We start from the raw sequence: 17,088 nt of genomic DNA, 5'->3' as shown, positions 1-17,088 counted from the left end.
CAAGCACACGCACATAAGAGGGTCAGCTCTATTTTCCCTTCCAGGGCCCAATTTTACCATCCCTCCGCAGGGCCAAGTGAGCTTTGACACAGTGAATTAAGAATTGATTGCTGGGAGTGGTGGCTCATGCCTGTAATCCCAGCACTTTGGGAGCCCGAGGCAGGTGGATCACCGGAGGTCAGGAGTTTGAGACCAGCCTGACCGACATGGAGAAACCCCGTCTCTACTAAAAATACAAAATTAGCTGGGCATGGTGGCACCTGCCTGTAATCCCAGCTACTCGGGAGGCTAAGGCAGGAGAATTGCTTAAACCCGGGAGGCTGAGGTTGCAGTGAGCTGAGATCACGCCACTGTACTCTAGCCTGGGCAACAGAGTGAGACTCTCATCGCAAAAAAAAAAAAAAAGAAGAAAAAAGAATTGATGCAGCTGGGAATGGTAAAGGAGGGTTGGCCCATGAACCCATTAACCCATTAACCCATTAACCCATGAACCACTGACAATCCAGGAGTCTAGCAGAGGCTGGAATGGAGGAAGACTGTTAAGGCTGTATCCTGCAGAGCAAGAAAGAGTCCTGTGATCCTAAAGTGATGGCGGCTGTGGAGCTGGAGGCAGGGCCGGGAGTAGCTCTATGGGTGCCAGATAGCTGTGATCCCAACAGGCTAACATCTTGACTTTGGTTTCCCTTACCCCACCCCGTAAAGGGGAAGCCCCCACCTTGCCCTGCCTGCCCATGTCTGAAGGTGGGTGGCATGTCCCAAAGCCCCAATCTAGATCCCTCTCTCCAGGAAGGGGATGCCCCACCACTGCCAAGGGAAGCCTCAGATCCTTGGGGGATGAGGGGATGTCTGGGAGTCAAGATTACTCAGTCAGCACAGTGAGCACCTGGGAAGGTGGGGTTGGGGCAGCTGGACATCTGAAGCTCTGGGCAAGGGCACACATGGCTGTTTCCTCACTGGAGCAACAGCATGAGAGCTGGTCAGAGTGGCTGGACTGGTTTTAGGGCACTGTTTTTTCAGCTGGTGGGAAGTGGGTGGGAGTATGCACAGGCCTCTTTCCTGTGGCCTTTATGGGGACAGGAGATAGGAGAACAGCAATTAGGACCCAGATGGGCCTGGGTTCTAGTCTTGGCTTCACTGTTTTTAGCACTTTCTTAACCTCTGTAAGCCTCAAATCCTCAGTTGCAAAATGGAAAAAAATTATAGTATCTTCCCAGCAAGAATCTGTCCTCTCTAAATGAGCTAAAGGCACATAAAATGCTTTACCCAACTCTTGGCACATAGGAAGCCCTCCGTAAATCACAGCTGCTTTATGGTGACGGTGATGGAGACAGGGAACTCTACTCCGTTCCCAAACAAGAGCTGGGCCTGAGCTTTGTGCAGGCTCCCCTTTTCCCATTACTCTCCAGGCTTGTATGGAAAATGAAAATATTGTCTCGTGTGAATTTGGGAGCCAAGTTAAAGAATCCAGCCAGTGAACAGGGGCCGCCTCCTCCCGCGAAAGCTGTTTCCCTAACCCCGAGGACGGGACGCCTTGTCTGACAGGGTGTTTACCTGGCTCTCCCATGTCCCTTCCCCTAACCCAGTGATGGCCTTAGTCCTGGGTCAGCTTTTCTGTTCTGGGAGACCAATTAAAGCCCCCTCCTCTTCCTGCATAATCCCAGCCATGATCAGTGAGGTATCCACAGATACACACAGTGGGAATAGGGAGCTAGCACCCCAAATTCACATCCAGACCTCAGCTCCCTGAGCCTGGCTTTCCTCCTCTGCCAAGTGATGCCTGGCAGAATGACAGGAAGAGCCAGTTAGGTAACGTGTGTAAAAGCCCCGGCGAGGGGTGTCTGACATACAGCAGCACTAGCACAGCTTCTCTCCACCAGCACTTGGGTGGAGCTGAGCTGATTCCCAGGCCAGCTGCTTGGGAACCACAGCAGAGGAGGCAACCGCAAGGGGCAGTGGGGCAGCCCAGGGGCAGGCAGACCCAGGCAGATGGAGGCAGGGAGGCTTGAACTTGCAGACTTGAAACCAGACAGTCTACAACCTAGCCCAGTTCTGCCAGGTAACCAACCTCTCTCCGCCCAGTGGGTGTAATTGCCACCACTGGGTCTTTGCAAGGAATGAGTAGTGCTTGCAGCCCCGGGGAGTTAGGGGCTCTCTCCAGTGCCTCCTTTGCCCGCCCCTTGTTGGGCAACCACAGAGGGATACTAGAAGTCATGGGGAAAGCACATAATGCTGTGGCTGCCTGATAAGCCAGGGCCTGAGGCTGCCAGCTGGTCCCCAAAGGGCACACCATCAGTGGGGTGAAGGGTAGAAAGCCCAGCTCTTCCACCTCTCCCCACTCCCAAACTTAATGCCTTCTTCAGTTACCCTGTTTTGCCAGTTCTTTTGTTTGATGTCTCCTTAGCACTTACTAAATGATTCCCAAATCACAGGTTACCTTTGGCACTAGCATTTCCCAGGGGGAGCATTTTTGGCCTTGTGGGTGTGGTTGTCCTGTGAATTGCAGGGCATTTAGCATCTCTAGCCCCTTGCCTTCTCAATGCCAGAGCATCTCCCATCACCCATTAGAATAAACATAAGAGGAGGGCAGGGATTCCGTCCGTTCACTGCAGTATACTCACTGCCTAGAACAGTGCCTGGTACATGCAACATTCCTCCTTAGAAAGCATTTCCAGACACTTCCAAAAGGCACTACCACCCCAGTGGAGAACCCCTGTTCCAGACATACCTTCCACAACACCCTTGATGGATGCTGGCTACCCTGGTCTAAATACTTTGCATTATCAGAAATTGATTACTACAAGGAGTAGCCCTTTGTAGACTCATTATCCAAAACAGCCACCCCATCTCCCCCTTGGACTTTGGCCTGTTGGTTAGCATATCATGTGAAGTCTGACACCCAGAATGAAACAAGGTGCCCCATATATGGCCTGACCCTGCAAGCAACAGTGGGCTTGTTACCTCCCAGCCCTGGATAGACCTGGAGTTGACATAGCCTGAGATTGCATTTACTTTTCTTGTGACAGCAGGACAGTAGGATTACTGTTTGTTGATCCATGGTCAGCTAATATCCAGGGACTTTTCCCTTCAATCCTCTACCAGTCTTTTCCAATCCAAAGTATAAGACTTAAACATTTAAGTGGATACTTGTATGTTGTTGATTTTGGCCCCTATATCCAGCCAGATGATTTTGAATCTTGATACTGCCATTGCTATGTGTTAGCTATCTTCCCATCCCATCCTTATCCCCAATTTTGCATCCACTGCACATTGGATTAGTAAACCATCTCTGTCCTCACTGTGCTGTGGTTTAAAATATTGAAGAAAACCAGGCCTTAAGCATGATGGTGGAGACTCAGTCTGGGTTGATAATGATCAATACCTCCTAGGGTTGTTTGTCTGCCTTTGAATGGACCCAATTAATCCTGGCTCCACTGACATTTCTGTGTCTTGTCCACATGAATTTCTTTAATCCCATCTGTTAGCTGCCTTGCTGATATCTAGATGGATTACATTCCACAGAACTTCAAGGCTTTGCAACCCTTTGAAAAGGAGATGCACTTAGCTGAGCATGACTTGTTCTGGGTGAATCTGTGCTAGTTTCTAGTGCCCACTACTTCCTCTTCTGCATGTTCCAAACATTCTCCTCTCCCCATTTTGAAGTTTGCAAGAGTTCAGGTTTGTTTTCTGAATTTCTAGAATCCACTCTTTTCCTTTTTGTGAAAAATGGGAACAGCTTGTCTTCTGACATCTTTCCTGTTCCCCATGATTCCATGGGGATGACCAGAGGTGGTGCTGCAGCCTCACCTGTGATCAGTGATTCAATTATCATTTCAAGATGTTCTTGTATGTTCTTATATACTCTTTTCTTGTAGGCCGGTCCCATTCAAGATCGATATCTGAGGTAGCAAAGGTAGATGCCAAAGGAGAGCTGGGTGGTTCCGCTTTCTCTGCCATCTGTTTAACATTAACGTGGCCCTGGTACTTCCTCATTCTCTTGCTCCAAACAGATTTGATGTTTTCAGAAACCCATTGGATGGTCCTTAGTATTTGTTTTAGCTCTCCTGTTGGCCTGTTAGTATCTAAATGTCCTTTAGCCATTTCACATTGAAATGGTCTGGCCAGCTAGACAGAGAGCTCTCTGAGGGCAGGGGCTGCCTTGGCCAGAGTTTGATGCGATGGTCCCCACTTTCCACTTTGATGCTGCACAGCCTTCGTAGCCTCGGAGATGCTGTGAAATGCCGGAGGAGGCAGCGCAGTGAGCTGTGTGGTTTGATGGTCTGACAGACAAGCGTGCCATCATGGAAAATTCTTTGCAGAGTGTGCAGATCCATTTACGCAGGCCGGCTGCTGCTTCTGCAAATTACACTTTCCTTCAGAACAACCCACCCATGCCCTTTTTTTCCCACCAAACCTCAGTCATGCTCTGGGTAGGTTAGAAACAAGGTTTTTTTTGTCTCCCTCTGTTTCCATCCCTCACTCTTCTGTCTCTTCTCTCTCAGTCCTTGTCTTGGTTTTTATAGGCAATTTGGCTGAATGCCTAGCTTCTGGTCTGGATGGCCTACCCATCTGCAGGCGCTCCTTGGGGACAGGACTTGAGCCCCAGATTTAGAGTCCCTTCTTATGTGACTTCTGGGGTCCAGGCCCTGCCAGCTGATAAAGCCCCACAGATAGGTTGGAGCCAGTGGTGATAGCAGAATTGGGGCCTAGTCAGATGGAAACAGGTTTGCAGCTGTCAGTATTGTAGGAGTAGATAAGTTCCCCACACCTCTGCCCCACCGCTCCTCGCACTCTCCAGGGGGACATCCCATCCCCAGGTGGCCTCTCACCTGCTATCCACAGTTACTGGAAGCTCTTTGGGGATTGATAGCACAGTTATGAGTCACCCTGAAATGTACTCACCCTCTGATCTGTCCCTTCCCAGACAGCTGCTCAGCCCAGGGCAGAGAGAGAAAGGGCTACAGGGAAGGGAGGGAAGTGAGATCCCACAGGGGAGAGGGTACATTAGAGTCCTAGGCTGGGGGAAAGGAGGACCTGCTGATTTGCATGCCCTCCGAGGACAAGTCAACAGGGCACTGAGCTGACCTGAGCAGGTATCCTACAGTAGGCTGAAGGGTATATGGGGGGCCCCTCCCCAGCCAACCCTGAACAAGGACCTGGTCTCTGCAGGTAGAACACCCTCCATGGAGGGCTGGGTGAGGCACAGGGGACCTCCTTGTGTGTGTCTGCCTCACATGTGCTTTTTTTGAGAGGCAGAATTAATCTAGTGCAGTGGTTCTCAAAGTGTGGTCCCTGTCCACAGCATCACCTGGGAACATGTTTAGAAATGTTCCTTCTAGACCTCCTAAATCAGAAACTCGGAGTAGTAGGGGCCAGCAGTCTGTTGAACAAGATTTCCAGGTGATCCTGGTGCATGCTAGTAAGTTGGAGAAGCATTGACTCAGTGAAAGAATGAACTTTGGAGCCAGATTGCCTGGGTTCATATCTTTACCTTGGGTAAATCAGGTAACCTCTCTGATCCTCTATACAATGTTTCATCTGTAACATGGAGACACTGCCACCTTCTTCTTGTGATGACTAAATGAAAATGCTTACAAGGAGTTTAGTGCAGTTCTGTCAATCAGCATCTGTTAAGTGTGGCCTCAGCTCTGACCTTTACTGTTTCTCATTTTAGGTGGTATCTGATGCTGCAGGACAGGGTGTGGCCATCACAGGGAACCAGACCTTCAACAACTGGAACTGGCCCAATGCAATGATTTTTGCAGCGACCGTCATTACCACCATTGGTAAGTCTTCTGGGACCTGTAGGACACCCACATCCATGCCCTAGCTCCTCAGAACCTTTCTAGAAACCCAGCTCTGGTCACTCAGCCCTGTTGGGGGTACAATCAGATCAGTTGCAGGCTATTCTTTTGATACTTTCTTAGGGATTTGTTAAGTCCTTGGTAGCTGATCATGCCTGGGAAGGTTTCCTTGAGTCTTGACCTGGGCTCTTTGAGCAGAAACAATGACACAGCCTCATGGCCAGAGCCATGCAAGAGATTAACCAGACTGCTCATTGCAGAAACCCAGATCATGACTACTTACCAAGCTGGGTGTCTGTTTCAGTTCTCAGGCTGCATAGCCAACCAGTCCAGAAGTTTGGCTCAGAACGCAGCTTCTTCTCTTTCACCATTCTGTCAGCTTGACTGGGCTCAGCTGGCTGGTTCTTGCTTGGGCTCCCAATGCAGTGGCAGTCGAACAATGGCTGGGCTGGAGTCTTCTGAAAGCCAAACTCATCTGATGGCCCAGATGGCTCCTCCCATCACAGATTTGACAGTTGATGCTGGCTGTTGGCTGGGAGCTCAGCTGGGGATGAAAACACAAGGCCTCCGCATGTGTTTGGGAACCAAGGCGAAAAGCAGCAGGCTTCTTAGACCTCACCTGTCCAGCGTCTCTTCCGCTGCCTAGACTGCTTCTGTTGTCAAGCCACTAAAGCCCAGATTCCAAGGGAAGAGGATTAGATGACACCTTGATGTGAGCAGTTGCATAAGAAGGGAGGGAATGGAGGATGGCTATCTTTGGAGACCATCTACCACAGTGCTTCTGGGGAATCTACACAGAGAGCATGTCTTATAACTTGCACAGTGGTACCATATAGACTAGTGGAAGACCTGTTGACCAGGCTTAGTCCCTGCCTTCAGGGAGCTCCTTGTATGATGGAGGAGATACAGCTCATGTCATCATAATTGCTTTATCAATGATCATGATCAGAGTATGATCAAGGGAAATATCATTACTTAAGTACTGACAATAGATCAATATCAATTTATCTTAGAGAACGGGCTGTGTGTGTGTTGGAAGCAAGGCCCACTGGTTTGACCACCCCTCCTGTTCTTGGCCTCACTCTCTCCTTCCTCAGGATATGGCAATGTGGCTCCCAAGACCCCCGCCGGTCGCCTCTTCTGTGTTTTCTATGGTCTCTTCGGGGTGCCGCTCTGCCTGACGTGGATCAGTGCCCTGGGCAAGTTCTTCGGGGGACGTGCCAAGAGACTAGGGCAGTTCCTTACCAAGAGAGGTGTGAGTCTGGTATGTCCCCTACCCTGGGTGTTGGGCAGAGATGGGGGAACCATGACAGGTGAGGGGAGGACAGGAGGCCTCTAGGAATTGGACCAAGGGTGTAAGGACAGATGGCAAGAGGATAGTTTCAGAGCTCCTTGCCCTCCCGGGTCAGGCTGGGTACCCAGCTAGCTTCTCCTCTAGCTGCCTCCCTGGCCCTCTGGGTGCCTTTGCTGGGTTTCCAAGTCTCCACTATTCTCTGACTTGGCCTCCTGCTCCCCATCAGCGGAAGGCGCAGATCACGTGCACAGTCATCTTCATCGTGTGGGGCGTCCTAGTCCACCTGGTGATCCCACCCTTCGTATTCATGGTGACTGAGGGGTGGAACTACATCGAGGGCCTCTACTACTCCTTCATCACCATCTCCACCATCGGCTTCGGTGACTTTGTGGCCGGTGAGTCCCTGCCTCTGCCTCCCACCTCTTTTTCTGCTTCTTTGGTTTCAGTGCAACAGACCTATGTTGGGGGTGCCCTAGGTAGGGTTCCATGTTCTGGGCACTTCTCTTACCCAGTGGGATTCTCAACCCACTCTGCCATTTGCAAGAGGAAACTAAGACCCAGAGTAATGACAAAAAACTCTTTTCTCTCTGGTTCCCTTTCTCAGACATGGCCTTTTTCCTCCTCCTTTCCTCTCTGCTCAGTCTCTGATCTCCTCTCCCTCAGTTCTCCCATGACTCCTGAGCTTGGCTTCATGGGGGACTTGCAAGTAGGGCCTTCTGCCTGCACGGTTGGTACCTGCTACCCAGGGAGCCCCTGAGCCCACCAGCACCCACTCCACGCCCTCAGCAGCCTTTCATCTTTCACAAGAGTGGAGGGAGGTGTCCTGAAGGCATGGCTCAGAGGCCTGGGGCTTTGTTCCTGCTGTAGCAGCTTAAAGACAAGGGAGGCCTTCTCCCCAGCTGCCCTGCCCCCAGCCCTGACACTCCCTCCTACTCCTCCCCTGCTTAATCCAGGGAAGTGATGAGGTTCTTTGGCCCCTTTGTCTGAAGGCCTGTTACCAGCTGGCCCCAGCCACACATGTACTTGTGTTTGTGGCCTGCACAGCATCTTGGTTCTTAATCTTCTTGACACCCTGTTTGACCCTGTTGACCCACCACCCCAGTGACCTCAACTTCTGCTCCAGAGGCCTCTGTTCTGTACCCCCTCCCTTTTGCCCAGAGGGCAGTGGGAGGCCACTAGCCTTGTGCTTGATGTATGTGGCATCTGGGAGCAGTTGGCTGAGTTGGGGGAGGAACAGGAAAGAGAGGCACAAACACTCCCCTGACCCTGCCAAGTCCGGGCCTGCTGTCCTGGGCAGTACATGTGGACAAGGCACAACCCTGCCATTGTCCAGCCCTTGAGGCCCAGAGCAGGCTAAGGAGGTGCCTCTGGTATTAGGGAAATACAGATGTACACTTAGCCATACTTTCTCAGCACCAGCAAGACACCAAACCCTGCCTCAGCTTTCTCTTCTGTAAAATTAGTAAAAATAATAATTACTATTCATGAGTGTTAAGGGTAGGGCCTGGCTATATCAGTGTGTGCCCTCATTACTGTCATCATGAAACTCTGCTTGTGATTGAGAGCCTTGAGCAGGATTAACAGGACCACTCAGGGCACCTGCTATCTGAGCCCGGTCGTGGGAGGAGAACTGACCGGGCTACAGCACCTGGAGGAACCTCTAGTCTGATGAGAGAGGTAGCCCCCTTCCTCCAGGTCCCTTCTGTAAGTTGCTCTTGTATCTAGTCGAGGGGGCAAATGGAATACAGGTCAACATGCCTGTACATGTAGTCGTCAACGACATTTCAAATAATCCTGGAGTGTAGGGGGAACCTTCAGAGCTGTAGGGGGTAAGCCAAGAAGGCTCCCTGCAGCAGGAGGGGGATGTGGAGCAGACAGAGCCCTCCTCCAGGTCAAGGGAGAGCTGATCTGAGGAAGTCAGGGAGGCAGACCAGACCTTCAATGAAAATAAAAATGGTTCAGCGTTTCTTGCCACGGTGGGTGCTTCCTGGGTCATCTCAACCTAACCACCAGCCTTGTTTGTAATCCACCAGTGTGAGTCTAGCCCCAGCTTGGAGGGTGCTGGGGGCTCCCTTGTGTAATATCCATCCATTCCGTTTTTAAGTGAACTGTATCATATACGCAGAACAGCTGGGGATGGTAGAAGAATTAACAGAAAGGCAAATACTCATGAACTGTTTCTTGACCTGTGTGTCGGTTACATTGCCAGTCCCCCAAAGCCCCTTTAGCTTCCTTCAAAGAGTCACTGTCTTGACTTTTTTTTTTTTTTTTTTTTTTTTTGAGACGGAGTCTCTGTCTGCTGCCCAGGCTAGAGTGGCAGTGGTGTGATCTTGGCTCACTGCAACCTCTGCCTCCCGGGTTCAAGCAGTTCTCCTGCTTCAGCCTCCTGAGTAGCTGGCCCGCCACCATACCTGGCTAATTTTTGTATTGTTAGTGGAGCTGGGGTTTTACCATGTTGGTCAGACTGGTTTCGAACTCCTGACCTCAAGTGATCCACCTGCCTTGACCTCCCAAAGTGCTGGGATTGCAGACGTGAGCCACCATGCCTGGCCTGTCTTGACGTTTCTAGTTGAGGAAACCGAGACTCAGAGACAGGCTGGAGACTGGGATGGGGTCATGAATGATGGCAGGCCCAAGCCCTTGAGGAAGATGGGATAGTCCAGGGTCTAGAACAGGCCCCTTTCTATCCCACTGCACCCCCGTCCTGTGCTCTGGCCTGACCCCTGCTCAGATCACACAGCATTGGCCATTGCACATTTCCCGGGCCCTGCTAACTCTTCCTGACCTCTGGACTGCCTGTCCGCTCAGGTGTGAACCCCAGCGCCAACTACCACGCCCTGTACCGCTACTTCGTGGAGCTCTGGATCTACTTGGGGCTGGCCTGGCTGTCCCTTTTTGTCAACTGGAAGGTGAGCATGTTTGTGGAAGTCCACAAAGCCATTAAGAAGCGGCGGCGGCGACGGAAGGAGTCCTTTGAGAGCTCCCCACACTCCCGGAAGGCCCTGCAGGTGAAGGGGAGCACAGCCTCCAAGGACGTCAACATCTTCAGCTTTCTTTCCAAGAAGGAAGAGACCTACAACGACCTCATCAAGCAGATCGGGAAGAAGGCCATGAAGACAAGCGGGGGTGGGGAGACGGGCCCGGGCCCAGGGCTGGGGCCTCAAGGCGGTGGGCTCCCAGCACTGCCCCCTTCCCTGGTGCCCCTGGTAGTCTACTCCAAGAACCGGGTGCCCACCTTGGAAGAGGTGTCACAGACACTGAGGAGCAAAGGCCACGTATCAAGGTCCCCAGATGAGGAGGCTGTGGCACGGGCCCCTGAAGACAGCTCCCCTGCCCCCGAGGTGTTCATGAACCAGCTGGACCGCATCAGCGAGGAATGCGAGCCATGGGACGCCCAGGACTACCACCCACTCATCTTCCAGGACGCCAGCATCACCTTCGTGAACACGGAGGCTGGCCTCTCAGACGAGGAGACCTCCAAGTCCTCGCTAGAGGACAACTTGGCAGGGGAGGAGAGCCCCCAGCAGGGGGCTGAAGCCAAGGCGCCCCTGAACATGGGCGAGTTCCCCTCCTCCTCCGAGTCCACCTTCACCAGCACTGAGTCTGAGCTCTCTGTGCCTTACGAACAGCTGATGAATGAGTACAACAAGGCTAACAGCCCCAAGGGCACATGAGGCAGGGCCGGCTCCCCACCCCACCTTTGATGGCCTCTTCCCCCCTCACCCTAGGGTGTCCCGAGATGACCGGGACGCCTGGCCCCTGGTGGGGGGGCAGCCTCGGAACTGGGAGTGGGGGGCCAGGGGCCTTCCTAACCTTCCATCATCCTCAGCTAGATGTATGCCCGGGACAGGGCCTCTGTTCTCCAGCTGAACCATACCCTGGCTGTGGGGGCATCTGTCCTGAGCTTGGCTGGTGTATCTCACAATGCAAAGACATGCTGGCTGGCGGGACAGGTGGGCAGGACTGACCCTGAGGAGGCCTTGCCTGCAGGGTCTTTGTCTCACCATTTGGTGGAGTATCACACGGTTCTCTGAGGTCTGGGGCCTCAGCTGTTTAAGTTTACCGGTATTACTGAGCTCGGCATTTGGAGAGGGAGCTCTGAAGTGTCTGGGGAGGTACCGCTGTGCGTGGGGTCAGGTGTTTCCGTACCACAGCAGGAGCAGGGCCCGCCCGCATCCCAGCTGTGGGCCTGCCGGTCAGGTCGGGCACCTACTACAAACCGTAGTGGGGTGGAGGCTGCTGGAGGTGGGAGTGAGGAGATGAGGGCAGGGTCTCAAACAGTCCTGACTCACAGGGCCTGGAAACAAGTCCTATGTGGGCCTGGGGCCTGGGGTCCTCATCCTCCTTGTTGGTCTACTCAGGCCCAGCCCAGAGCTGTGTTCCCTGTCTCAGGTCAAGCAGTGGCAGACGCAAGGCTTTCTGTGGGCCCCCAAGTGGTAGGAGGGAGAGTAGCAGAGCATGGGTTACTGGAAGCCGGGACTGCTAGGGCTGGTGGCCAGGGAGCTGCAAGAGTGAGGCTCAGCTCTGGCTGGTTCTGCCCTTACCCCTCCTGCCCGCCTGAGAACTGCACACCCTGCCCGCTGGCCCCAGGACCTGCACTCCCAATCCTGCTGTCTTCTCCTTCCCTGTGCCCTGAACAAGGACCTCACTGCCCGCCTTCCCCTCCCACCAGCCCCCTTGGGCCAGGCAGGGTGAGGCCAAATTGCTCTTGGCCCACAAATGGGTGATGGTCAGATATGTGAATCAAGCTCCTTTCTCTAGCTAGTGTTTGATGTGCACGTGTGTGTGCACAGTGCGTGTGTGCACACGCACACCTGTGCACTCGTGTGTGTTTAAGAAAGGAAAGGATTTGGGCTGGGGAGCAAAAGATAATGTGAAACTGTTGGTGGACTCTCTGGTGAGGGGTGGGCAGAACTTGCTGCTACTAGAGTTCTTGGGTTCTCCATGATGTTCACCCTGGGGCTGGCCCACTGTGTCCTGAATGTTTTTGTTATTTTTTGTTTTATTTTTTAAACAAACTGCTGTTTTTATATACCTGGAATCTGTTGTTGGCTTCAGAGCCAGTGGTTAAAGAGCAGGGTCCCAAGGATTGGGAGATCTAGTGTCTGCCCTCCTGCCCTGCAACTCAATTGGGCCTTTTTCGGTGACCTCATCCAAGGCCATGATGTCAAGGGCCATGTCCCCAAGCAGAGGTGGAGAAGGGGACACTGAGGTGAGCAAAAGCAGGAAGGGGCATCCACTGCGGGTGACTGGAGGCCGGGCAGGAAGCAAGTCATCAGAGCCGCTCAGCTCCGTTCACTCTCTGCCTTCTGCCCCACTACTGTGGGGCAGTGGGGCCAGAGCCCACCTCCCCAACATGTGAAGACAGTGATGGGCACGTGCCCACACCCCCACTTCTCTAGCCGTTTGCAGAGGCCGCCACCCAGCAGGGGCCTGAAAAGGAGCAGCCTCGTATTTTTCTGTGAAATGTTTTAATGAACCATGTTGTTGCTGGTTGTCCTGGCATCGCGCACACTGTATGTACATACTGGCAACGATGTCAAATGTAATTTATTTTAACATTTTTACAATAAAACATGAGGTGGACAGGCCAGCTTGGTGTGTGCTGTGTGTGGGTCAGGTTAGAGAGGGGTTGGCTTCTGGCCTCTGAGCAGCAGGGGAGCCTGGGCGCATCCACAGAAGATAGAGAGGACTCAGGACAGACTGATAAGAGGATTGGATGGTCTGGAGGGGAGAAAAGAATGAAAAGAGATGAAGAGAGCGGGGAGAGGCAGGCCTCTGTGGGGAGGTAAGGACGCGGGAGGAACATTGCAGTAGAGGTTTGAGAATCAGGAAGGAGTGGGAGGAGCAAGGGGAGAGGCGGGGTGATCATGGCAAACGCATGTCACTCACCACTTTGTCAGGCACTAAATGCTTGCACTGAATAATACGTGAGTGGACTCATTTGACCTGGCAAGAACCCTGAGAGGGCATCAGTACATCTCCATTTTATAGACGAGGAAACAGGCACAGAGAAGTTGCCTTGTGCAAAATCTCAGTAAAAATGGTGAGACTAGATTCAAACCCAGGCAGCCCAGCTCCTGTCCCCTCTACCACTGTGATGAGATGAAAAAGACTACCTGTGGTTTTGTGGCACACCCAACATCTCTGGAAAGGGCTCCTGTCTCCAGGTAGGTGGACCAGAGAACTTGAGCGAAGCTCAAGCCTTCTCAACTCAAGGGGTGGGCAGGAAATGTAGAGCCTGAGCGTGGGCACTGTGGACTGGAAAGAATGTGAAGGAAGAATGGAGCCAGGCTCAGCCGGGCATCTGTCTCCATCTGTCTAAAGGGAGGCTTTGTCAGGCTTCAGCTGTTTGGGGACTGGCCCCTTCTATGACCATTTCAGGGCTCAGCACCAGAAAGGATGATTTCTGAGTTCATTGGAAAAAAAAAAAAAAGTATGATTTCCGGAGTGAACCACATTTTTCATGAGGGCATGGATGTGTTTACAAAGGATTATATGTATTTACCAGCCAATTCTGCAACGACACCATCCCTCCCTCTGCCAACATCACTCCCTCTTGCCCTCTTTCTGCTCCCCCCGACCCCTCTCCTGCCATCACACACAGGTCCAAGGTTCTCCGGTTTTGCTTTAATCACATTCAGCCTCAAGGCAATAACAGTTCCATAACACTGTAAGCCCCACCTTTATTCAGCACTTGGCCTGTTCACAAACCCCATTGACAAACATAGCCCAGGTTATTTGGCCCATCTACAGTTGAGACGAGAGCTTGGGGAGCATGACTTCCTAAGGGCACCCAGCTGGACTGAGGCACAGTTTTGCAGAACTGTGTTCACAGATGATAAAGCACAGACCCAAGATTGGGTGGAGGTGTGGCCTTGGGTCACTGTGGCCAGGGTTAGTCTGGAGCTTTCTGAGTAAGAGATGGGAGGTAGGGCAGCAGCTAGAGCAAAGGGTGGGGCCCAGGAGGCCTCAAGTTCCCCAGGGGTCATGAGCAGGGGAGGGGTACCATGTGGAGGCATGGGGAACATTCCATCACAGTCCGGGGAGCTATAGGGTGGATGGGAGTGGGGCCGGTGGAGGAGGCTGGCGAGTGGCGGAGGAGTGGCAGATGGGTGGGAAGTCACTGGAGATAACACTAGCAGGGAAATCCTTCTGTTGAAGTCATTGATGTTTTGTTGTTGTTTTTTGAGACCGAGTTTCACTCTTCCCCAGGCTGGAGTGCAGTGGCATGATCTCAGCTCACTGCAACCTCCACCTCCCGGTTCAAGTGATTCTCCTGCCTTAGCTCCCGAGTAGCTGGGACTACAAGTGTGAGCCACCACGCCCAGCTAAATTTTGTATTTTTCAATAGAGACAGGGTTTCACTATGTTAGCCAGGCTAGTCTTGAACACCTGACCTCAGGTGATCCGCCCACCTCGGCCTCCCAAAGTGCTGGGATTACAGGCGTGAGCCACCGTGCCCGGCCGTCATTGCTGTATTTCTAATGCAAGGCAGAGATAATTGGATTGGTGAGATCTGGCGACTTGCTGGGGTCCTCGTGGAGGCAGCACTCCTCCTTTCATAGGCCCCAGGGCTCCATTCCCAGCAGGCTTCTCCGCTGTCCTAGTAAACCAGCACCTGCTCTCCACCAGCACCACCTGGGCTCTCCATTATTTGTTCCACTAATGTTTACTGAGCACCTATGTATCATTATCCTCATTTTACAATGAGGAAATTGAGGCAAATATAGGATTTTTTCCAAGCTGAAACAACTATTAACTGGCAGCAAAGCAGCTTCCCTGACTTGCATTCTCATTCCTCATTCTACCCTCTAAGTTTCTGATCTGACAGGGGAGACATCTTCAGAGAACCCAGAGTCTGATGGAGGTGAGAGACAGCGTCTCCCTTCAAGGAGTCTAATCTGACAAGGAGGAGAGCACAGAAAGACCCTCAGGGTCCCAGCTGGGCTTCTTATCTCCTGCATGATCCTGGAGGAGACATTTAGCTCCCTGCCAGAGGTGATGAAGAGAAACCAGGATGTTTGGGTTTCACCTCCTGACTGGAAAGAGCCAGGCAAGGTAATCAGCAGCCACCATTGCATCTGAAGCTCTCATAAGTCTGGGGTAGAGTGGTGGGGAGGGACAGGCAAGCTGGGCTGCACAGCTCTGGGTGGGGCCTCCAGAAATGAGGCCCCTGAGGTTTGGTCTCAGCTCTGCCATTCATCTCTCCATTCTTGAAATAACAGGTTCCCGGTTTCCAAATTCATGCACAACTGGTCCAGGAACCAATGACAACTCGTGAATTGTCAGGATGTATTTCACAGTGAAAACCCCTCCCTAAGATCTCTGTCCCGTCTATCCATCATGGCCCCATCACCAGGGTCCAGGCCACCTGGCCCCTCACCTGGATCTCCCACAACAGCGTAGGGCCTGGCACCTGGTAGGGGGTCCACAGATATTTGTTGAATGAATGAATGAGCCCCATCTGCTGGTCTCCCTGCCTCTAATACTGACTCCCTTTCTACCTGGCCATTACTGTAGCCAGCAACCTAAACTCAAACCTGACCCATTTCTTTTCTGTTTTAAACTCCTCAGGGGCTCCCCATTGCTCTTCCACCCCCTCCCCCCCGCCCCACCTCTCTCTTCAGCCTCCTCTCCTTTCCCACCTCTCTGGGCTCCAGCCACTTTGCCGTTGCTGTTTCCTCTGCCCTGATGCCCTTCCTCTCTCTCTCCTGGGTAAGTCCTGAGACCTAGTGGGATTAGATATGGATATCACCTTCTCTGGGAAGACTTCCACAATTACCTGTAGCCCTCCCGGATTCTGGGCCAGGTGCTCCTCCTCTGTGTTCCAGAGCCCCTTCCTCAGTAAGCTGCCTCTCTCCCACCGAGCTGTTCTGATGTTGTTCCAGCTCCCTGCCTCCTGGTCTTATGCCTCCTCCCCTGACTGGGAGCCGCTAAAGGGCACAGGGAGTAGCTTGTCCACCTTCAGATTCCTGGGAGCCCAGTGTGGAGAGGGGCCCAGCTTTTCCATGTTTACTAAATGGAGGGTAAATGAACTAGAGGCCTGGCCCCTCCTACTGGTAATTCAGTCCCTCTCTTCCTGGGGCAGAGGCCAAATCAGGGGGCAAGGCTTGTTCCAGAAGGGCGAGTCCCCACAAGGCCAGGTGGATGATCTTGAGGGCCCTTGTGGCAGGCTGAGTTGGCCTGGTGAGTCACCTTATCTTGTGCCAAGTCACTTGAATCTGCAGGGCAGTACTGGAATAAAGCACACCTTATTTCTCCCCACCCCAGGGAGCACTGTCATTGGCACCCCCTTTTCCACTTGCCCCATCTCCCCATCTTCACCTCTTACTGTTCCCAGGTGATTCCGGGAGCTGGGCCTCCCAACCCAGCAGCTCCCCAGTCCCCACGGTTCCCTCAGGATTACCTCTGCTCCCAGCAACCCTGCACACCGGGCCCAGCCTCTCAGTTCATAAAGCCCTTTCACACCCATTCCTGGGTGGGATTACGCAACAGCAGGGAGCCAGGTGCAATATTTTACAGGCCTCAATTTAAGGGCCTTTTCCAAATGAGGTAATAAATGTTTTGGTTTGATTTTCCAGGAAAACAAGGCCTAAGGCTAGAACTGGGAGATGGTCAGAAGAAGTAGCAGAAAGGGATGTAGAGGTAAACATGGGGAAAGAGGAAAAGGTCATACATGTTCATTTTAGAGCTGTTTCAACTGTGGGCAACTGGGGCTTAATCCCACTAGACCTCCCCTGAAAAACCTGTAGAATACACCTCAGATTTGTCCATCTGAAGGACAGGGACCATTTATCCACCAATTCCACCCTTGTTGGTTAAGGATGGCCCCAGGGAAATTCATCCCCACCCTCCTTTCATACATGTGGATGCAACAGGCGGTATTATCAAAAGATGACTGCGACAATATCTCCCCACTCACATTCTCATCTGCAAAATGAACTGGCCACTCCCCAACAGGAAGCAGAGTCTATTCCCTTTGAATGTGGG

At 52.5% G+C, this 17,088-nt stretch overlaps 1 protein-coding gene across 3 annotated transcripts in view; it reads left to right on the top strand.

The window, feature by feature from the left end:
* Positions 1-12,688, top strand: part of KCNK5 (potassium two pore domain channel subfamily K member 5) — a 40,505-nt gene extending 27,817 nt beyond the window's left edge. The window contains exons 2-5 of one of the 3 annotated variants that reach the window (XM_005249456.2): positions 5,672-5,783; positions 6,899-7,056; positions 7,322-7,490; positions 9,904-12,688. In XM_005249456.2, coding sequence (XP_005249513.1) covers positions 5,672-5,783; positions 6,899-7,056; positions 7,322-7,490; positions 9,904-10,769 — 1,305 coding nt within the window. In that variant the 3' untranslated portion in view covers positions 10,770-12,688. Of the gene's footprint in view, positions 1-5,671; positions 5,784-6,898; positions 7,066-7,321; positions 7,491-9,903 lie in introns of those variants that run through there. The other 2 variants (NM_003740.4, XM_006715235.2) reach the window with 2 other exon arrangements.
* The last annotated feature ends 4,400 nt before the right edge of the window (positions 12,689-17,088 follow it).

The sequence above is a fragment of the Homo sapiens genome, chromosome 6 (genome assembly GCF_000001405.40).
Source record: "Homo sapiens chromosome 6, GRCh38.p14 Primary Assembly".
Lineage (NCBI taxonomy): Eukaryota > Metazoa > Chordata > Mammalia > Primates > Hominidae > Homo > Homo sapiens.
Note: the sequence above shows the minus strand (reverse complement) of the source record. Positions and strands in the feature narration are given on the sequence as shown.